Source organism: Homo sapiens, chromosome 8, assembly GCF_000001405.40.
Source record: "Homo sapiens chromosome 8, GRCh38.p14 Primary Assembly".
NCBI lineage: Eukaryota > Metazoa > Chordata > Mammalia > Primates > Hominidae > Homo > Homo sapiens.
In genome coordinates, this window is record NC_000008.11 from 58254770 (window position 1) to 58278185 (window position 23416).

Consider the following 23416-nt stretch of genomic DNA (forward strand, 5'->3'; position numbering starts at 1 on the left):
AGAGGGAATGGTGTAGTTTAAAAAATCATCAGTGGATGCTAAAACTCAATAAAGGTCATGAGAAACAAGATATTTACAGAGGCACCAAGTACCCCCTCACAGAATATTAATAACAGAGAAAAATGGTAGCTTTACAGTGGAGGATCATGGACTACATCATCTCAATTAAGGAATCAAAGTTAACATCATCGATATTGGTACAAACCAGATCCATATGCCTCCTGATACTGTGTGTTGAAAGAGACTCAGTGTCACGTCAGTGTGCCTGACACACCGCATACCTGACAATACACATAACAAGAATCTAATCATGAGGAAATAGCCATGCCCAAAATGAGGAACATTCTGTAAAATAAATACCCAATTCTCCTTCAAACTGGCAATGTTCATAAAGATTCTTTTAAGTTTGGGGAGTGTTTTGGGTTAAAGGTTGCTAAATCAGCCTGGCAGCAAAGTATAATTGTAATACTGGATTCAATTCAGCATGAAAAAATAAAATTAGCTATAAAGCACCACTCTGGGATAACTGGCAAAATTTCTCTGTGACTTGACTAATGGTAATGTGTCTATGTTAAATTTCCCAATTTTGAAAACTGTACTGTGGTTATGTAAGATAATGTCCTTGTTCTTAAGAAATACACTGAAGTATTTAGCAATAAAAGGGCCCAATGTCTCTACATTACTCTCAAGAGGTTCAGAAAATATGTATACATAAATATTTAGTAAGAGAATAATAAATCAATGGGACAAAATATAAACAACTGGTGAATATGAGTAAAGGGATAAGTGATTTCCTAACACGATTTTTGCAACATGTCTGAAAGTTTAAAACTATTGCTAAATTAAAAGTTACAAAAAAAAGTGTAAAAAAAAATCTATGGTGCCAAGATTACATTTTGTGGTAATAACCATATGGATATAAAGAAAATAGGAGGACTTAGGTTTTATTTCCATTGAAAAACAATGAGTAGATAAAATTAGAGGTCAACAACTAAGACAGATCCGATTTTTGCATTCTGCTTCATTGCCATAGAAAGTAAACAAGAACAAAAGATCAGAATTTTGTTTCCTGACTGTAAAACTTCGTCACTTGTCTTTTTTCTGATTTGCTTTCCAGTCTCTCACGTCTGGAATTCTCGAAATCACTGGTTCCAACTGGATCACTCTCCGCAAATGGCCTCAGCATTAAAGAATGATCTCTTTTTATAAACTTCAACAGAAGGTAATCAAATACAGTATTTATCATAGCAAAATAGTGGGAACATGGGAAAATGCCTTTCCAGCTGGTTCTCATGTTTTCCTGAGAGGCTTTAGATATTGCAGCCTAAATAATTTTAGAAAAAATTCTCAGCTCAAATTAGTAAGTAGATGGCTGAAAGCTTATTTTATTTGCAAGGAGACACTATAATTGGACTTTGAGAAAGGGAAAAAAAAGGCATGATTATATTGCTGTGGTGTTGAATTGCAGAGAAGAGGGATGGACTTAAATTTATAATGTGGGTTGAACTTTTCCCATTTGTAGAGACCTCTATTGTGGAAATAAAAACGTTGTATGTAGTTTTTGTTTACTTCTCTCACCAATTCTGGGTTCTCCAATCCCAAATAATTTTTTTCCCAAAGCTGTAATTACTGAGATTACAAATAATTCGAAGCATTGCAGCTGGTCCTGTTCTGGCATAATTCCAACACATAATCACCTGTCGTGTGCACTAATTCCTGCCATGATTAAGCCCCTTTATTCGAAGTAGGGTTTGACAGCTCTATTGTTTAAAATGTCACCCATTAATAGAACAGGCATGGGCTTGTCTGTACTTGAACTAGTTTCCTTGCATATTTCCTATGTCAGCCTCAGTTAAGCTGTTGTACTGTGTATGTGATGAGTGATCACTTTTCCTGAAGCCTGATATTGTCAATAAAAGACTAATGATATGTGAGACCACAGCTTAGTTAGATATAAACATAGATTCAAACAAAGCCTTCTAGAAAACATTGGAAAGAGAATTTAATGGGCTCCACACTAGAGCAGTAGACACAGAATTGTTTTGGTGTCTTTTAAGACAAAAGGGCCACACTTACACATGACGATAATACCGTTTTTCCTTGTTGTGGGAAAACAAGCTTCTGACTGAACCTGAAAATTTACCATTTGAAAATGTCTCTACAATATATTTTTAATATATTACTTTTAATGAAGGTAATCTTTTCAAAATCTTTTTGTTATTTTTCTAAAACTCAACTCTAAATGCTAATTAAATGTGACAAATCTTATGAAACTGCTTACAGGGATACAGAGCCTACTTCAAGTAAAAGAAGAAAGTAAATACCTTCTATAGGTGACCTTGAAAATGGTAAATTACAACCACTGATTTTGTTGTTCGAACTGAAAATTTTGTGCGATCCTAAAAAGCTCCATTGAGAAAAATTGGCACAGTCCTAAACTGACCCAAATGGAGATGCCAGAAGGAATAAGGAAGGCTTTGTGTTAATGCTTAAGTTCCATCTCCCGACCATATCTTATTCAAATTCATGCATGCTTTGCTAATATCTTTCACCTGCTACTGTTAGCATTTGTGGTTGCAGCTAGATTTCTACAGTTCTTAATCAAATAGCAGCCTCCTTCTGTTTCTGTAACCCACAAAGACCATGTGATCACGTCTGCAGTCATTTCCATTGTCTACTGTTTGCCTAAAGTTTGATCACAGACCACAGCAAGTTACAGTGATTGTGCAGAGAGTTGTCTGAGAAGAATGTCTTTCCCAGATCTATTTGGTCCACCAGCTGCAAAGGTCAATCATAGATAGATAGTATCAGAACTCCCAACTCCTACATTTTCAGCCTGTACCCAGAAGGAGGGCCCTTCTGATTGCTGACTCAAGACCTTCACTCACTTGCATTATTTTATCACCAAGTCCTAGCACTTCCCTTATACATATTGAAGATTTTATTCCTAATGGATCAAGAAGCTTGAAAGGCCAATCAAAAAGCTATCCTCTCAGCCAATAAGAGGTAAAGGATACATGTTTTTTTTGAAAAAAGAAAAAAAAAACTTTTGTCCTTGGGTCAGCCTCTCAGTGACCTATAGGAAAAAACAGACAGAGAGTCTTTAGGAGGTATAAACAGAAAAGAATTGATACTTGGGAAAAAGATTTTAAGAGTGGAGGATTCTAAATATAGTTTCAGAATTCTGCCTTTCTATCAGCACAATATAAAGTCATTTGACATGTTGTTTGTGCTTTCATTCCAAGAAGCACATAGATGAATGGGCGTGGAGAGAGCCAGGCATCAAGCCAATGCATTGTGTAGGGGCTCTGTCCTGGGCAAATTTTCCCTTTCCCTCCTCCTCCTTCCCTAAATCCCAACATGCTGCCAACAAACAACTCTAGCCAGGACAGATAAATTTCACCACTTGTAAAATTAGGCAAATATGTAGATAGCAGAGCAAATTGTTACTTAGACTGTGCCATGTTTCTAAAAATAAAAACAGTAACAATTACCCTTGAAACTGCTTGTTAAAATGTCTAAAACTCTTTCAAAAATAATAGTTAGAAATGCTATTGAATCATCAATTATTTTCTTAATGCCACCTGTTAATTGCCATAAATCCTCCCCTGTGGACATAGTTATTCAGCCTGTTACAGACGTAATTCACCTTTACATAATTTCTGAAAAAATACATGCAAATCGAATTTTGTAAATTGTATAACATTTTAAACATGTGTGGAAAGTTTTCTATCTGAAAAAAAAGCCCAGAGTCCATTTGAAAGGGAGTGCAAGAATTTAATATTATAAATGAAAATTGACTACAATAAAAAAATTATCCTACTTTATTGGCTCAGTATTTTTAATATCCCTACTCTTTAGAATTTCTTCAAGCTAGTAACATCCATACAGAATGGCATAAGCTTAAGAGGTTGCATGTATATATTATATACATGTATAATGGTTGCTTATTAGAATCTCATAATAAAGTACACCAATATTTTCCATGTCAGGTCATTATTTCCCCATGGAGAGCAACTAAATATGCCATGTATGACTATTAGAAAAGTCTGTTACAGCTTTAGGCAGTATAAATATCTTCAAAAGCATGGGATCTGGAGTTAGGCAAAGATATATTTGATTCCCATCACTTTCAGTAGCCTTGGGAAAGTTGTTTATACATTCTAAGACTCAGTTTCCTCAGCTGCTGCATGGGGAATAACAGTAGTTCTATCTTCAGAAATTCATGGCATATAAAAACACTTTGCATAGGGCAAATTGATCAAGACTGCAATGATACCATGTCAGTCACTTCTGGCTGAGAGAATGCTGTGTAACAACTTCCAAATCTCAGGGACTTGCAAAAACAAAGGGCATTTGTTGCTCAAGTTCCATGTCAGGAGCTGGTTGGCTGCAACTGTGTGGTTCTGAGGCTGTACTGCAGGGAGCAGGTGGAGAATGAGGCTGCGCTGTCTGCTGATTCCTGGAGTCAGGCTGGAGCAATGGCCCCTGCTTGATATATGTTGTCCTTATGAGGGAGGGGAGAAATGCAAGAATAGTGGTAGAAATGCATACTGCTTCTTGAAGATTCTGCTCAAACTGCCACCCCATCATTTCTGACATGACATTTGACCTACATGAATCATATGGCTAAGCTCAAAGTCAATGGAGCAGGGATGTGCATTCCGTATCAGAAAGAAGGCAAGTCATATGGTGAAGTGTATAAATAAATATTTTGTTCAAAGGAAGGAGTGAAAAATAGTGACAATAATACAATTGAATACATACACCAAGGAACTAAAACAGCTCTATGTAGTTGGCAATAAAAGAGGGGAATTTGCTAAAAAGACCACATTGGGGCATCCCATATGATCAAAGAAAAGGGCAGGGCATACAATCAAACTGAATCATAGACAGGGCAAACACATATATGGACTTCAAGAACAAGGGGAAACAGAGTTTTGACACAGCTACAACTCTGTATCTCTCTTATACCTACTGGTGTTGGCTTCATTTATTTTCCCCGCCAAAGAAGATTGGATTCCATCATGAGACAGAAAACATGGCGGCCTTTGGTTTCCAAGTCTCACATTCTGCAGCTCTCCCCACTGGGGAGCACTTCCCTCCCTTTACCAGTGCTGGTTACAAAATTCCTGGAGAAGAATATTGTTTGAATCAGATGTCTGGGCTGGGTCCAACCTGAATCAGATGTCCCATCAACTACTGAGCTGAGCTGGGGTCATTTTCCACAGGAGCCCATGATGGAAAGGACTGGTCTGGGAACAAAACAACAAGTGGCCAGCACATTAGGACATAGTACATGTATGTGTTCAAGGGTTAGAAATTATTTCTAGAGCTGGTAGTATTTTACTTTATACATTTTACATATGTTTTTTATGTAGCACAACAGCTCTATAGGGAACATTTCAGTGATACAAGTTTAAATTTCCATATATAATTTTGATTGGCCTTTGGAGCCTGAAAAGACTAATTAAGAAGCAGCCTGCCTTCATGGAAAGAATACCCAATGGGCAGACAGGGAGGAGATTTTAGTAAACAGTGCTGGCTCTGCACTAACTTGCTGGGTTACTATAAGTACGTTGCTTGAACTTGCTAGTCTCTTACTTCCTCTAGCATGAAGTCCAAATTAGCTAGCCCTGCCATATTCTTGCATCCACTGTCTTTACAGACTTACTGTCTTCTCTCTTCACCTACCTCCCCCATCTCAAATCTTACATTCCAGCCTCAACTGTACCTCTTTTTTTTTTATATATACCTGGCTTCATTCTAAAAGGAGGCAGTAGAAGGCTAAACAGGGACTTGCTTCTGCAGAAAATCAGGTCAGGATCCAAGTCTGTGCTTGCAGCTGTTTCTCTGTCCAGCTACTTGACCTTGGGCTTGGCTTTGGACCCTTAGTGTCCAGGTTGCTGTCTGAACCTTCAGCTCCTTTCAACCACTCTGGTGCTTCTTGTGTTTCTCAGTCTCCTCTCTGTCCTATAGTCATGCTTGAAGGTAGGTGGGAAAGAGAGAGGGGGAGGTTTCTAAACTGAAACGCATATTGAACCTAAGCAGAGTGGCAGTTAAAAGTGAAGGCTTGGCTGGCATGGTGGCTCACACCTGCAACCCCAGCACTTTCAGAGGCAGAAGTGGGAGAATCATTTGAACCTAGGAGTTCAAGACCAGCCTGGACAACATGGTGAAACTCCATCTCATATATATATATAAATGGCCAGGCATGGTGGCATGCACCTGTGGTCCCAGCAAGTCAGGAGACTGAGGCAGGAGGATCGCTTGAGCCCAGGAGGTAGAGGCTGCGCCAACCCCTGATTGCACCACTGCACTCCAGCCTGGGCAAGAGAGCACAGCCTGTCTCAAAAAAAAAAAAAAAAATAGAGTGAAGGCTTGGAAGAAGACTGCCTGGTTTCAAGTCTTGGCATAACCAATTATCATCTATGTGGACTGGTTCAAGTTATTTACCAGACTGTCAATGTCTTCATCTATAAATGGGAATAATGGTTTGTGTGAAGGTTAAATGAGTTAATACAAAGTGCTAGACCAGTGCTTAGTAATAGCAAATGCTCAGTAAATGTTAAAACTATTTTTAATTGGTCTAGGTTGATGTATAGTGGAAGTGTGTCTATATAAACTATGTATAGTATATATACTTTATGTATGTACATACAAAAAACAATCATACACAGACACACATACAAGAAAGAATTGTCCTTCTTTCACAAAGGAGAAGGATCACAGTAAGATTACTCTGTGCTTGTATTACTACAGAATTTCCTGGGCCACATTTCATCTTTCCAGCAGCAAACAGGACCTGGAAGGCAATGTATAGATGGTTGTTCTGCCGTTGTTAGAGATGGCTTCTCTACAGTCCTCCAGTGGGGACCTTCTGGGTTCATCTTGAAGTGTGTATAGCAATGCCATTCTTTTGTTTGTGCAGTGACCTGAGGAGAATTTGTGAGTCTACAAAACCGCTCTCTAATTTACCCAGGTGCATCATGGTGAGGAGACCAGAAGAAGAGCATTGGAGTTTCACCCTCTCCCTCACAACTTTCATGCTCACCTTCAGACGAACTAGCTTACAGCTGACGCAGAATTTTCAAATGACTATTTGACTCCACTGAAGTAATTTTGAAATGATTATTTTTAACTAAGTACATAAGCAGTAGGTAAACATGGGGAAATTTCTGAGGTTGTTATAGGAAGTGAGTGTTTTAAATTCCTGACTTTTCATTATTTAGACAAAGCTCTATTTCGATGGCATTCTCTAAGAAAAAAATAGTTTTTCAGTGGCAAAGACCACATATTAAATCAATTTCTGAAGCCATGAATCTTCATATTACTTGATGACAATGTCAGTGGTCATTCTAGATTATTCACATACTTTATATCTCAGATACTGAAATACAGAAATTGCCATAAATAAGACAGAATACAGAGGACAGCAGTGTACCATTATACTATGTATACAGACTTCAGAATAATTCCAAAATAGGTATAAAATCTGGAGCCAAGACTTAAAATTATCTTTACTTACTTTTGGCACATGACATGTTCTTCCTATTTTGACTATTTCTTAACATTTTTGGAAATTTTTAGGATACTTCAGATAGAATGGTACAATGAATGTCTGTAAGCCATACCATGGTAAGCTTAACATATGGACATTTTTTTACTCAATCATAATGCAGATACTCTCTCATCTCCTATTGAATTTTCTATAATAAAATTCACCCTTTTTGGTGTACAGTTCTGTGAGTTTTCACAAATGCATAAATTTTTGTAACCACCACCATAAGACAGTTACACCATTATATAAAAAATTCATCTTACCACCCCATTGCGGTGAAACCTTCTCTCTAATTGCCACTGAGCTATTCTGCATCTCTATAATTTTGCCTTTGCAAACGTGTTGCATATTCTTGAGTGTGTTACATTGCTTGGGTCTACTGCAACTTATTTATCCACAGACCAGCTGAAGGACATTTAGACTGTTTCCAATTTGAGGGGATTATAAGTAAATCCTCACCTACAGATATTTATGTGAATATTTTCATTTATTTTGGGTTGATGCCTGAGAGTAGGATTGCTGAATCATAGTAAGTACATATTCCATTTCTTAAGAAATGCCCAAACTATTTTCCAAAGCAGCTATACCATTTTGCATTCCCCCCAGAAATGTACTAGTTTTCCGGTTACTCTGCACACTCACCAGCATTTATATTGTCACTATTTATTATTGTAGGTATTTTTGTATGTGTGTAGTGCTACATCATTGTGGTTTTAATTTGCAAGTTACTGAGGATTAAATAATATCTTGAGGATATTTTATGTGCTTATTTGCCTACCCTATATTTTCTTTGGTGAACTGTCTTTTTAAATCATTTGTTCATTATTTAATGGACTAGACTTTTTCATATTGAGGAGGTTTGAAAGTCCTTTATATATTCTGGATATACATGCTTTGTCAGATATGTGATTTAGATACATTTTCTCAGTCTGTAACCTGTCCCTTTCATTCTCTTAAGAGTGTCTTTCACAGAGCCAAGGACTTTAATTTGGATGATGTCCAGTTTACTAAGTTTTTCTTGTATGCATCCTGCTTTTGGTGTCATATCTAAGAACACTTTGTCTAATCCAAGGTCACAAAGATTTCTCCCTCTATTGTCTTCTGAAAGTTTTATAGTTTCACATTTTGCATTTAGGTCTATGATTCATTTTGAGTTAATTTTTGTGTAAGCTCCAGGATATAATTCTAGGTTACTTTTATGCCTATGGATGTTCAATTGTTTTGGCACAATTTGTTGGAAAATCTATTCTTTTTCCAGTGAAATGTCTTGGCACCCTTGTAAAAATCAATTAACCACATTTGTCTGGATATATCTTTGGACTCTTTATTGTGTTCTATTGCTCTATCTGTCTATCCTTTCACCAAACCATATTATTTTGATTACTATAGCTTTAGAGTAAGTCTTGAAATAGGGCAGCATGTGTCCTTCAACTTGATTGCTCTGTCAAAATTGTTTTGGTTATTCTAATACCTTTGGTTTTCTATATAAATTTTAGACTCAGCTGGTAAATATGTACAGGGAATCCTTCTGGGATTCTGAATGGAGTTACATTGAATCAATAGATTATTTGGGGAAAAATTGGCACGCTATCATTGTTTCAATACACAAACAGGTTATATCTCTTCATTTATTTAGATTTTCATCTATCTCTTTCATCAGTACTTTGCTGTTTTCAGCATATAAATACAGTATATATTTTGTTAGATTTATACCTAAATGTTTCATTTTTTGATATAATTGTAAATAATACTACTTTTTCAAATTTGATTTCCAGTTATTCCAGCTAATAGGTAGAAACATGATTGTTATTGTATAATAACCTTATATTCTGTGACCCACTAAACTCAATTATTTGTCCCGAGAGCTTTTTATAGATTCCATGGGATTTTCTTTGCAGACAATCATGTCTACATGATTGGACATTTAGATGTCCAATCTAATGGATACAGTTTTATTTCTTCCTTCCCAATTTATATGCCTTTTAATTGTTTTCCTTGCTTTGTTTCAGTTGCTGAGACTTCCAGGATGATGTGAACAAGAGCCGTGGGAGAAAGCATCCTGGCCTTGCACCTGGTCTGATGAAGACAGCACTTGGTCATTCACCACCCTACTCTGGAGAATGTTACTCTGGATAACAGGAAGTCATCCAAAAAATTCTAGCTTGGCTTCTATCTGTGATGGTTCCAATTCAAAGTCTTTGCTACGCTGTTTGGGTCTTCCCAGCATATGCACCATATAAAAGGTTAGTCTGGGACTTGGCAGTGGTTTCTATGGAGTTCAGTTCTTGAACTTGTTGCTATGTGTCTTTGGTCCAATCCACACATACATTGCTCAGGGGTAACTCTGGAACTTATGCCAGTTTATACACAGAATTAGGCGATGCTTTTCTCCAGCTCTCTGCAATCTGGGATTTCTCCTACTATCTCTGACCCCCCCACTCTCTTTCTCATTCCTCCTGCTGGAAGGATGGAGTTCTCAGAGTTTAGCCTCTAGCACTGACATGCAGTTCTACACAACCGAAGCCATCCTTGTGTCATTATTCAAGTTTTGGCCTTTGTCCCTAACAAACGTCTACTCAACGTTTGTGATCTACACATATCCACAGTCAATATGCTCTGTTACCCCTGCTGGATGCCGAAAACCATGGATATGCCTACAACCTATGTCTACTGTGTTTTTCCTATACATACGTAACTATGATAAAGTTTAATTTGTCATAGGCTCAGTAAAAGATTAACAATAGCTAATAATTAATAGAACAATTATAACAATTATGCTGTAATAAAAGTTTTGTTAATGTGATCTCTTTCTCCGCTTTCAACGGAGTCATCTTGTTCTTTTAAGATTTGAGGCTGGGCATTGACTTCTCTGTGTGTAAAAAAGTCCTACATAGCATCTTCTTCCAATAAAAGGCTGTTTCATCTACATAGAAAATATGCTTTTTAGTGTAGCCACCTTCATCACTTCTCTTAGCTAGATCTTCTGTAGCTTCTCCATCAACACTTGCCACTTCACCTTACACTTCATGTTATGAAGACAGCTTCCATCCTTAAACCTCATGAACCAACCTCTGCTAGTTTTAAATTTTTTTCGGAGCCTTTTAAACTTCTCTCAGTCTTCATATAATTGAAGAGAGATAGGGCCTTGTTCTGGGTTAGGCTTTGACTTAAGGGAAGGTTGTGGTCAGTTTGATCTTCTATTCAGACCACAAAAACTTCCTTCATGTCAGCAATAAAGGTGTTTCACTTTCTTATCATTTGTGTTTTCACTGAGGTAGGAATTTTAATTTCCATCAAAAACTTTTCCAGGGCTGAGTGTGATGGCTCACACCTGTAATCCCAGCAATTTGGGAGGTTGAGGTGGGAGGATCACTTGAGGTCAGGAGTTTGAAACCAGCCTGGGCAACACAGCAAGACCTTGGACTCTACAAAAAAGTTTTTAAAAAATCATCTGGGTGTGCTGGCATGTGCCTGTAGTCCCAGCTACTTGAGAGGCTGAGGCAGGAGGATTGTTTGAGTCCAGAAGTTCGAGGCTGCAGTGAGCTATGATCATACCACTGTACTTCAGCGTGGGCAACAAAGTGAAACTGCCTCAAGCAACAAAACAAAACAAAGGAACTTTTCCTTTGCATTCCCAACTTGGCTAACTAACATATCACATACAGAGAAAGAAGGATTATTAACAGCCACCTTCTTATCAGAAACTGTAAGGACAGAAAAAGGGAGAACAATCTTTTGGAAATGCTGAAAGAAAAAACTGTGGACACAGAATTTTATATTCAATGTCAATATCTTTTAAGAATGAAGCCCCAGCTGGGCATGGTGGCTCACGCCCGTAATCCCAGCACTTAGAGAGGCCGAGACGGGTGGATCACCTGAGGTCAAGAGTTCAAGACCAGCCTGGCCAGCATGGTGAAACCCTGTCTCTACTAAAAATACAAGAAAAATTAGCCAGGCTTGGTGGCACACACCTGCATTCCCAGCTCCTCAGGAGGCGGAAGCATGTGAATAACTTGAACCCGGGAGGTGGAGGTTGCGGTGAGCTGAAATGGTGCCCCTGCACTCCAGCCTGGGTGACAGAGTGAGACCCTGTCTCAAAAAAAAAAAAAAAAAAAAAAAAGTGAAGCCCCAGAACATCAGTACATTCATACTCTCTCAGACATTATTGAGTAGCTTCATTTGGCACAAAAGGCTTAGCTTTTGGTCTATGTCAGCTTTCGACATGCCTTCCTCACTGAGCTTAATCATTTCTAGTTTTTGACATAAAGTGAGAGAAATGCAGCTCTTTCTTTTACTTAAACACTCAGAGGTCAATGTCGAATAATTAATTAGCCTAGTTTAATATTCTTGCGTCTTTTGGAATGGAGAGGCCCGGGGAGAGGAAGAGAGATGGAGAAGTAGGAACACACACATCATTGACAGATAAGTTCACTGCCTTATATGGGGATGGTTCATAGTGCCCCAAAACAATTACAATGGTAACATCAAAGATCACTGATTATATATCACCATAACAGAAATAATAATAGTGAAAATGTTTGAAAAATTTTTAGAATTACCAAAATCTGACACAGAGACATGAAGTAAGCACACACTGTGAAAAATGGTACCAACAGACTTGCTCGAAGAAGGGTTGCCACAAACCTCTGATTTGCAAAAAATACAGTATGTGAGAATTTCAGTAAAGCAAAGTGCAACAAAATGAGATATGCCTGTGTTTTCTTAGTCTGTATGTTTATATAGTATTTATTAAATCTTATTTCTAACAGCTTTAAGAATGTTCCATTTTATTACAAATGATGAAATACAATTTTCTAAATATTAACTGTTTTGTTATCAGAAATAAAAATTGTAGCATTTTATATACACATGTTTCAGTTAGTACCAAGTTTTTTATTTTCTTAATTTTAATTTTTTAAACTTTTTTCTTTCCAACTTTTATTTTAGGTTAAGGGGGTACATATGCACGTTTGTTACATAGGAAAATTGTGTATCATGACGGTTTGGTGTACAGATTACTTCATTACCCAGGTAATAAGCATAGTACCCAATAGGTAGTTGTTTGATACTCACCCTCCTCCCACTTCTGATTTTTAAGAGATCAATTTGGAAACCCCATGTAATGTCTTTTTGTTGTTGTTTTTATAAATCTTTTGGCATTTTTAGGATTTTTTAAACTTTTATTTTAGACTCAGGGGGTACATATGCAGGTTCGTTATCTAGGTAATATTGTGTAATACTGAGGTTTGGTGTATGAATGATCCCATCACCCAGACACTGAGCATAGTACCCAACAGTTTTTCAACATTTCCTTTCCTCTCCCCTCCCCAGTAGTCCCAGTGTCTATTGTTGCCATCTTTTTGTCCAGGAATACCCAATGTCTAGCTCCCGCTTGTAAGTGCGAACATGTGGTATCTGGTTTTCTGTTCCTGTATTAATTTGCTTAGGATAATGGCCTCCAGCTATATCCATGGTGCTGCAAAGCACAATATTTTATTCTCTTTTATGGCTGTGTAGTATTTCATGGTGTACATGCACCACATTTTCTTTATCTAATCAACTGTTGATGAGCCGCTAGATTGATTGCATGTCTTTGCTGTTGTGAATAGTGCTGTAATGAACATGTGAGTGTATGTGTCTTTTTGGTAAAATGACTTGTTTTCTTTTGGCTATATACCCAGTAATGGGATTGCTGGGTTGAATGGCAGTTCTGTTTTAAGTCCTTTGAGAAACCTCCAAACTGCTTTCCATAGTGGCTGAACTAATTTACATTCTTACCAACAGTGTTTAAGTGTTTTCTTTCTCCACAGCCTTGCCAACATCTGTTGCTTTTTGACTTCAGAAGAAGTCAAACTATCTCTCTTCACAGACAATATGATTCTATACCTTGAAACCACTAAACACTTTGCCAAAAGGCTACTGCAACTGATAAACAACTTCAGTAAACTTTCAGGATACAAAAAATCAGTAGCATTTCTATACATCAACAGCATTCAAGCTGACAACCAAATCAAGAATACAACCCATTTATAATAGCCACAAAAAAATTTGTAGGAATGCATCTAACCAAGGAGGTGAAAGATCTCTAAAAGGAGAACTACAGCTAAAAGAAATCATAGATGACACAAACAAATGGAAAAACATTCGATGCTCATGGACTGGAATAATCAATATTATTAAAATGACCATATTGCCCAAAACAATCTACAGATTTAATGCTATTCCTATCAAACTATCATCACTTTTCACAGAATTGGAAAAAAAACATTATAAAATTCATTTGGAAACAAAAAAGAGCCTGAATAGCCAAGCAATGACGTCACTCTACTTCTAACTCTAAGGCTACAATAACCAAAACATCATGGTACTGGTCCAAAAACAGACATGTGGACCAATAGAACAGAAAAGAGAACCAAGAAATAAAGCCTCACACTTATAGCCTCTAATCTTTGGGAAAAATTGACAAAAACAAGCAGTGGGAAAAGGGCTCCCTATTCAATACATAGTGCTGAGATAGCTGGCTAGCCATATGCAGGAGAATGAAACTGGACCCCTACTTTTCACCATATACAAAAATTAACTCAGAATGGATGACAGATATAAATGTAAGACCTTAAACCAGGAGTGTCCAATCTTTTGTCTTCCATGGGCCACATTGGAAGAAGAATTGTCTTGGACTACATATAAAATACACTAACACTAATGATAGCTGATGAACTTAAAAAAAATGCAAAAAAACTCATAATGTTTTAAGAACATTTACAAATTTGTGTTGGGCCACATTCAAAGCCATCCTAGGCCACAGGCTGGACAAGCTTGACTTAAACTATGACAATCCTAGAAGAAAATGTAGGAAACAGCATTCTGGACATTGGCCTTGGGAAAGAATTTATGACTAAGTCCTCAAAAAAGCAATTTTAATAAAAACAAAAATTGACAAGTGGGACCTAATTAGAGAGCTTCTGCACAGCAAAACAAACAAACAAACAACAACAACAACAAAAACTATCACCAGAGTAAACAGACACCCTACAGAATGGGAGGAAATATTCACAAACTATGCCTCCAACAGAGATCTAATATCCAGAGTCTTTCAGGAACTTAAACACTTGAACAAGCAAAAAACAAATAACCTCATTAGAAATAAGCAAAAGACATGAACAGACACTTCTCAAAAGAATACATACAAGCAGCCAACAATCATGTATTAAATTTTAAGTAGGAAGAGAATACACCATAAACACAAATGTTCCTAAGTGAGAGTAAATCTTAACTGGACATTTCTTTTTACTTTCAAGCTGATTTACCCTCTACTTAGAATTCCAGCCTGCAACTGATTTTTGCAGTTGTTTGATTCAATTATGTGATTCTCCCCATTAATACATTTTTCATGTGATTTTTCAGTGCTGTCACTTTGATGTCCTCAATTCCAGGTCTGTGCATTCCTTCATCTTTCCTTTACTTACATATACAGTCCTATCTCTTCTCTTATTTTAGGTTGGTCGTCCTGAATAGTGCATTTAGCCCTTCACCCATGACAATCCCAATAACAGAATGCCCCGTGGAATTGGAACATCATCATAAGGAGAGTTCCAAGACACCTCTCTATTATCTCTGAAACAATGTCTGGCCATGTGCTAGGCTACCCAGTGAAGTCTGAGAGAGTATAAGTGTGTATAAGTGTGCTGCTGCTCTGGAGCCTTCATTCTTAAAAAATATTGTTACTGGATATAGAATTATACATTGGCAGTTGTTTTCTTTCAGCGTTTTCAAAATATTATTCTCGTCTTTTCTGTCTTTCATGATTTCTGATAAGAAAGTGGCTGTTAATTACCATTGTTTCTTTGTATTTAATATGTTAGTTTTCAGTATTTACTCTTTATATTTGGCTGTCAACACTTTAATATGATGTGCCTTAGCTTTAGCTTGTTTGCGTTCATTGTGAGTATTGTTTGTGCAGCATCTAGTATTTAAACATTTTTATCTTTCACCAAATTTGGGAAATGTTCAGCTATTATTTCTTTAAAAAATATTGTTCTACATCATTCTCTCATCTCCTTCTGGCATTCCTATTATATGTATGTTTTCTTGTTTTATCCAGTCTAACAGGACACTGTTAATTTCCCATAATCAGGTTTTTCACCTTGGACAATCTTTATTGCTCTATATTTGAGTTCACTTACTCTTTCTCTGTTCTATTTGACCATTAAGTTTTTCCACCGACTTTTTATCATAATTATAAATTTTAGTTCTATAACTTCCAGTTGTTTCCTATTTTATTGTTTTTAATTTTCTGCTGACATTTCCAACTTCTCTGCCAAGATTTCTATTCACTGAAATCATGTTCTGTTTTATTTCATTGACTATTGTTATAACAGCTGTCTTAATTTCTTTATCTGTCAGTTCCAGCATCTGGTTCATCTCTAGCTTGAACACAATTAATGTTTTTTTCTCCTTAGAATATTTTCCATTTTCTTGGATCTTTACATGTTGGATAATTTTGGACAGAACGTTAGTATCATGGATGTTAACAGATCCTAGATACTGTTATTTTTATCTGATAGAGCATTTTTTTTTCTTTTTGCAGGTAATATTCTTAGTTGGTCTTCAACTGAATATTGATTTTTGACAGCAGTTCAGTTTCAGTTCAGATCTTTACCAGAGCTGCTTTGTGTCTTTTCCATGCCATATGCTTCTGGATTCAGTCAGTGATATGATGGACAGGACCAGGGATCCCCTCTCTGATGATGGACAGGACCAGGGATCCCCTCTCTGCCTCTTTCCCTTCTAATATTACCCCACTCTCTCTCCAACATTTACAATTTTCTGGCTTCATTTTGATTTCTCAGACCAGAAAAATTAAGTTTTCCTAATGGACCACTGCCACTGCTGTCTGAGCCATGAAGACAACACTTAGCCCAGGCTAAAAGCAGTGGAGTTGAAAACTTACTTGTCCAGATCCATATCTCTCCTCCTTCAAGCAAGCATGGACTCCCCCATTAGATCCTGTCATCTTCTCTTCAGTCTCCAGTACTATCATATGATTACGTGCAGTCTCACAGTTGTTGTATGCAGGGTGAAGAAATCATCCAACAGGGTCTTAGTCTATTATACCCATAAGTGGAAGTCTCTGTTTAAGTCTATTTTTTAAATAATTTTGTACCAAGATAAAATACCTCTATTAATAGTGTCTTTAAAAATCACTTCTGTAATCCAACTACAACAGAAGAAAGGAAGTTTTTTAAAAGTGCTATCTTTTTCACTTGCTGAAAGAAATCAGTAAAGATAACAAATCAATTAATAAGGACTTGGGTGGTGAAGCTTCTGTAGGTAATCCTTGCTTACACTTAAAAGTGGAGGCAGTAGAATAATTATAATAATAAAAGAGCAAATATTTATTGAGTGCTGGCAATTAATCTGCAGAATGGCACAATGATTTCAGTACCGCTTTCATTCCTATTTTACAGCTGAGGAAATTCAGGAAGAGAAAGTTAAGTAACCTGACCAAGATCAGAGAGTGAAGAAGCCTGGGCACTTACAGGGAATCTAAGAACTGCCAGGGATGGAATCACATCCTCCGCGCTTAGCTTTGAAAGACTGTTAACATTGCAGCATGATGCCATGTCCAACAAGCAGAACAGCGGGGAAAATTAAGAGTAGCTTGTAAGGGTACCTCAGAGTAGTCTCACAGAGTGCCACCAACTGTCCCAGGGAGCACAGAAAGCAATCTAGGACCCACTGAAACCATCCCAGAGATGAGGTGCAGAAGTCACATGTGGAGGCCTGAGGTTGGGACAAGAAGGCCACAGAGAGCAGAAACCTCACAAAGGGCATTGTGTGGGCACAGTCAGCACTGAGCCCCAGCACAAGGCTCAAACCATGCAGAAGGCACCAGCCACACCTCAAGGGACAACAAAGGATGCCCAGAAGAGGCAGGATTCAGAACAGAGACCCCTTTTGCTACAACCACAAAGTGCTCCTAGGCTCAGATGCCTTGTGGGAGACAAGGAGATCCTGAAGAGAAGAACCCTGAGAGACCAGAGGCAGCTCTGAAGGGAGATGGAGCTTTGAATTGACTAAATATTTTCAAGATTTTTTAAATTAAAAGTGATACACGGGATAGCAATTTCAAGGGTTTTCTTCCACCCATTTGTAGGTGACATGAGAATTTTAAAATAACATGAGGTCCTTTACAGAAAAAGTTTCACTTGATGATTTTTTTGCCCCTGAGTCTGAGCACGCACATTTTGACCTTCCTCTCTCACACCAGTGAACGGGCAGTTGCAACACAATGTGTTAGGGTGCCCTTGGGGAATTGCCAAGTCTTCTGAGAAGATCTAAGCTGATAGTGGGAGGGTAGGCATCGACCTGGGAAGGGTGCTGGGAGAGGGGAGGGTTCCGTGAGCCTATCTCCAAGCCTCTCAGCTGATTGAAAGATAAAGATGGAACATGATGTGTCTGTAGAACTTCAAGGATACTGTTAGAGCTGGAATTTTCAGTAAAAGGGGGAAAACAGAAATGAGGGTAGAAGTCAGCGGGAGGTGGGCCATGATGGAATGTGTGCTCAGTTCTAATTAAGTGAATTCAACATAATCCCCCATAAAAATACAATAGGATTGTTCTGGAACTAGAAAAGCTGGTTCTAAAATTAATAATGAAAACTATAAAGCATAAAAACCAGAACATTTCTAAAAAGCAAGAGTAATAAGGGATAATTTATTATAACATATTACAAATTTCTATCATTGTTCTCTAATATAATAAAAAATAGTATGGAACTGGTATATATAGTAATTTAGTATATGATGAAAGTAGCATTTCAAATCAATGAGAGGATTAATAATTCAGTTTATGGTGTTTGAGCATCTAGAAAAAATAATAAAGTTGGATCCATACCACACAACTGATGCCAAAATAAATGTCACAGTTTTCGATGAGTAAAAGTTTAAATGTCAAAAATGAAACCTTTAAAATTCTAGAAGAAGTCATAAAATTAAAAAAATACTAATAATCTCAGACTAAGGAGGATCTTTCTCAGTCTGATGCACAACTCAGAAGCCAGGACTTTTTGATAAACTTGATAACATAAAACTATTTCTCATAGAGAAAAATGTCACAAAAAAAGTTAAGACAATGACAAATGAAACAAAAATGAACAAACAAAACTTCCTTCCACAAGGAGCTAATTTCTTTAATTTATAAAGAGAAAGAACAACAGTATAATGACCCAAATAAGAAATAGCTCACAAAAAAAGCAAGTGTGAATGGTCTTAGACATATAATATTTTCAACTGCATTTGTCATAAGAGAAATGCAATTTAGAATTACCATGACACAGCCGGGCACAGTGGCTCACGTCTGTAATCCCAACACTTCAGGAGGCTGAGGTGGCTAGATCACCAGAGGTCAGGAGTTTGAGACCAGCCTGGCCAACATGGCAAAACCCCGTCTCTACTAAAATAAAAATAGAAAAATTAGCCAGGCATGGTGGCACGTGCCTGTAGTCCCAGCTACTCAAGAGGCTAAGGCAGGACAATCGCTTGAACCCAGGAGGCGGAGGTTGCAGTGAGACGAGATCATACCACTGCACTCCAGCCTGGGTGACAGAGTGAGACTCTGCCTCAAAAAAAAAAATTACCACGACACACGGGTTCTTACTTGTCAGGTGGACAACAGTTCAGTGAGGGAGCTCCCTGGCTTTTGCAGGGCAGAGATACACAGATCCTTCTTGGCAGAGCCAGGACCTGGGCAGCTGATGGCTCTTGAAGGCAAAGGTTTTCAACCCTTAGCATCACCTGAAGACCTTTAAAGTTCCCAATGCCCAGGCGACAATCTGAATCTTTGAGGTGGAACCCAGCCATTAGTATTTCTCAGATGCCTGCGTGATTTCCATGTGAGAGAAGGGTGTGAATCGCTGCTGGAGGGCTGTTAAGAAGTTAGCCTGCAGATATACTCATTCATGTATAAAATAATATGGAAAAGAATAGTCTTTGAAGCGTGGTTTGCCATAGCAAGAACAGGCAACATAATAAACATCCCTCAGTAAGAAATTGGTTAGATGTATCAGTGGTTTCTCCAAATAATGGAATACTGTGCAGACAGCAATTCTATATACACTGACTTGGAGCAATTGCCATAATGTACAGTGTTTTTAAGTGAAAAAAAGTAAAGTGTAAAAAGTGTGACTGGAGTATCAGCATTTGTGTACACATTTTGAAAGGAATCAAAAATTTCCACATTGATTATATATTCTAGTTTACTGGAATGGAATAATTTTTTTTCTTTTTTTTCTTTGAAACGGAGTCTCGCTCTGTCACCTGTGCTGGAGTGCTGTGGTGTGATATTGGCTCACTGCAACTTCTGCCTCCTGGGTTCAAATGATTCTCGTGCCTCAGCCTCTCGAGTAGCTGAGATTACAGGCACGCACCACCATGGCTGGCTAATTTTCTTGTATTTTTAGTAGAGACGGAGTTTCACCATGTTGGCCATGCTGGTCTCAAACTTCTGGCCTCAAGTGATCCACCCACTGCGGCCTCCCGAAGTGCTGGGATTATACCGCACTTGGCCATGCAATGGAATAATTAATTTACCTGAAATGACTACTGTTACCATGCAAGGCATGTGTATTACATTGAGAGAAGGTATAATTCTTCATGATATTGCAGGGGCTAAGACATACACAAAAAATATAAGTAGATATGTGAAGAGTGGACACTAATGTTTCCAAGTAAACATTTCTGGACAAATAGACTTCTTTTTTGGAAAGACTGCTTATTTACTGATAAATTCCAGAGGAATTAATTTGTAATCTGGTCAGGATGTGTTTATGAGCTAATACATTCATTTTCCTCTCACCAAAAAAAAAAGAAGAAAGAAAAAAAAATGCCTATCATCTAGCATGCAATTCAGATAATGGAAATTGGCACAGGGACTAATTACAGCTCACAAAGAAAAAAATCTGCTATTTTGATGAAAATGTGTTTCCTAGTGTTTTTGTTATTTCCGTTGGTAATTGCAGAAAATAGTTTGAGTGCAGTGACAATTGTTATGGTTCTCTATGTATTCCTATTCTAAGTCATAAATAAAGCAGTATTCCTGGCAAATATTTTGGGATCCATCTGGAAAGAAGGAATGATGACAACTCCAGAAGATAAGCTTTTGTTGTTTCAGTGTCTCTCCTGTCTTAAATTGTTTGTTAAATAAAAGCTATGTCTTGGTGGGCATTCTGAGACTCAAAAATTCCGCTTATTCTTTCAACTTTGAAAGAACAAAAATGTATAGAGTTCCTAAGTATCTATTTGCAAGACAGAAACACAAAAAAAGCTAGAAAATTCTGTACACTAGGTTTGTTGGATACAGGTTCGAATTAATTCAGAAAGTCTAGCCCACAGCCAGCTGTTGCTTTTTGGAGGGCATTAGGGACATTCTTTGGCAGACTGCATTTTGAAATTTCAAAAAAAAATAAAACCGTATTCTAGAATGTTATGTTCTCCCACAGCTTACTGTTGCCCCAGCTGTTAGGATGGGGAGCCTGAGGAAGTCCACGGAATGTGAAAACAGAAGAACTAATACATGAAAGAAAGATATTTTAAAATACCATGAAAGTGCCAGTATTTTGTAGATTTATAACCATGACTTTCCAAATAAATTTCGACATTTATTCTGTAATGAGTTAAAAATCCTGCTAGCTACTGGCATGCGTTTCAAATTTAAAACATATTTTTCCATTCAACAAATGTAATAAATGACACTTGGTGAGCCCTAAAACCCTTGACCAGTCACAGAGTCACCAAAATACTGTGTATTTTAAATGGAACAAAAATAGGACAAAATAGAAAAAAAATAAATTTGTATTTGAGATTATTACTATTTATCTTGAAGGCTGGTTCTTGAACTAGGAAGAAATTAATCAGAGCTAGTAAAACAGTATTAATAAAATATAATCTGTTTATTAAATTACAGGGACTTTGAAGTATTGTTCCCCTTTATTTTATATGGATTTCTTGCCCCTTGACAAGAGTGCATCACCATTGATCTCCTTATGTGTATCAGCTCTCGGTAAAAGTGTTGGAAAGAGATTTTTCCTCAGGTATCTGAGCACAAATTGGAAAGGAAGGGGGAGAATTAAAGAGTGTGTATATGAATATATAAAAGAGGTAAAACCTTCAGTAAAATAACCAAAAATAAGAGCATAAATAAGCGAGAGTCCCTGAAGAGAAGAGATAGGAGATGGCCAACCAAAGTGCAGGGCGCTGTCCAGGCCTAGGACACAGAGAAGACAGGGTATCTGTTGGTGCTTGGTGAAACTGGGACCCAGCTGCTCTTCAAACTGTTTCATCAAGGCTTACCATAGAGTCTGGCACATAGAAGGAGTTCATCAATATTTGTGGAATAAGTGAGTGAACAAATGAATGGGAAAATAAATCCTGAACCCTCGGGGAGTCTCCCCTTCTCAGAGGCAACATCAGGTGGCCAAAACCAGGCAACCTAGCTCTGCCTCCTGGCTGTGTCAGGCTGATGGGATCTCAAGAATGTTAGTTGGGTCTCCCTCTTCCTCTATCAAATGGAGGGGACCCTCCTCTACAAAATGGGGTGATGACAGCATCTCCCACCGAGGACTTTGGTGAGGGTTTCGTGAACTACTATGGCAAAGTGATTTCAATACTGCCTGGTACTTAGCAAATTCTCAATACATGTTGCATCATTCATTCATTCAAACATTACCTCCTGGAGGCCTACTGGGGCCCAGGCTCTTCTCTGGTGATAGGACAACAGCCATGGACTTGAGAAAGTCCTCTGAGCAAGTCCTGCCCTCACAAAGTTCACATTTCTGGCAGGCATGTGTTTTACCCCACAGCTCTGGTTGTGAGAAATATCTAATCCTTTCTTTTTCTAAAACAAACAAACAACAAAAAAAAAAAAAGAAAGAAAAGAAATCAAATCCAAGCTTCCATTTATCAAAGTACCAAGACATTAATCTCATTTTCATCTGTCCCCTTGAATCTACAGGGCTAAAATAGCAAAGATGGGGTCCTTGCTGGTATTGTGTGAAACTGGGACCCAGCTGCTGTTCTTCAAACAATATGACTAAGATTTACCATAGAGCCTGGCATGTAGCAAGGTTTCATCAATATTTGTGGAACTTGGGAAAGAGGGAAAGTGTCTCTGAGCACTGACGTGCCCAGTGGCCAGAACTGCAGGGTCCACTGAAAGATGGGCAGAGTTCCATGGGCCAGGATCACCAACCACCAACAGCAATGCCGGCCAAGCATCCCAAGACTCAGATCACCACCCACCACCTTTCTTTTTCTAGGGAGATGACAGCTGAGCTGAGGAAGGCTAAGGGGTCTGCTACACAACAAAACAGGAGAGTATTCCAGGCTGGGGCTTAGATACATCGTTCTAGCCCATTGAAAAAAAACTGGGGGCTCCCAGGAGGTGCAGAGTGGCTAAAAAGTGTTACGTGACTTTTGTGCTGACATGAAGCATCATTGATTTAGGACCCTCTTCCCAAACACGTTCTCATCCAACTCACAGCAGCATTGTTCCTGGCGCAGGAATGAGAAGCAGAATGTCCCAAAGGGAGAGCGAGGTTGGCAAGCAAAAAGCTGCAAGCCCCTGGACGCTGAAGGGGAGCCCACACGGGGCAAGGATTGAGATGGGTTCAGAGAAGTCGCTGTGGAAGGAGGCACCCAGGAGCACAGGAATAGGCTCCATGCCCCTCTGTCTTTGCCTGCAATGGGCCTTTTCTCCTCAGCTCCTCTCTGGCTGAATGGCAGAGGTCAACGGTACACAGAAGAGCAAGGCCAGAAGGTGCTCTGTCCTGCCAGGGCCTGATCTCCCCTGCACAGGTCC

General features: G+C 38.2%; 1 long non-coding RNA gene across 1 annotated transcript, besides 1 other annotated feature; it reads right to left on the reverse strand.

The window, feature by feature from the left end:
* Nucleotides 882–2793: an enhancer, noted in NCBI's record as "VISTA enhancer hs1364". NCBI's record gives its function as "enhancer in: forebrain[6/8] | nose[4/8]" and the evidence as "EXISTENCE:transgenic organism evidence [ECO:0001131][PMID:17130149]".
* On the reverse strand, nt 1002–17332 carry LINC03133 (long intergenic non-protein coding RNA 3133). The gene is made up of 8 exons (NR_105005.1): nt 17101–17332; nt 16512–16778; nt 5756–5984; nt 4979–5255; nt 4280–4507; nt 3018–3076; nt 2325–2399; nt 1002–1324 (listed from the first exon to the last, which is right to left on the reverse strand). It is a non-coding gene; the product is annotated as a long intergenic non-protein coding RNA 3133 (long non-coding RNA).
* Between the last annotated feature and the right edge of the window lie 6084 nt (nt 17333–23416).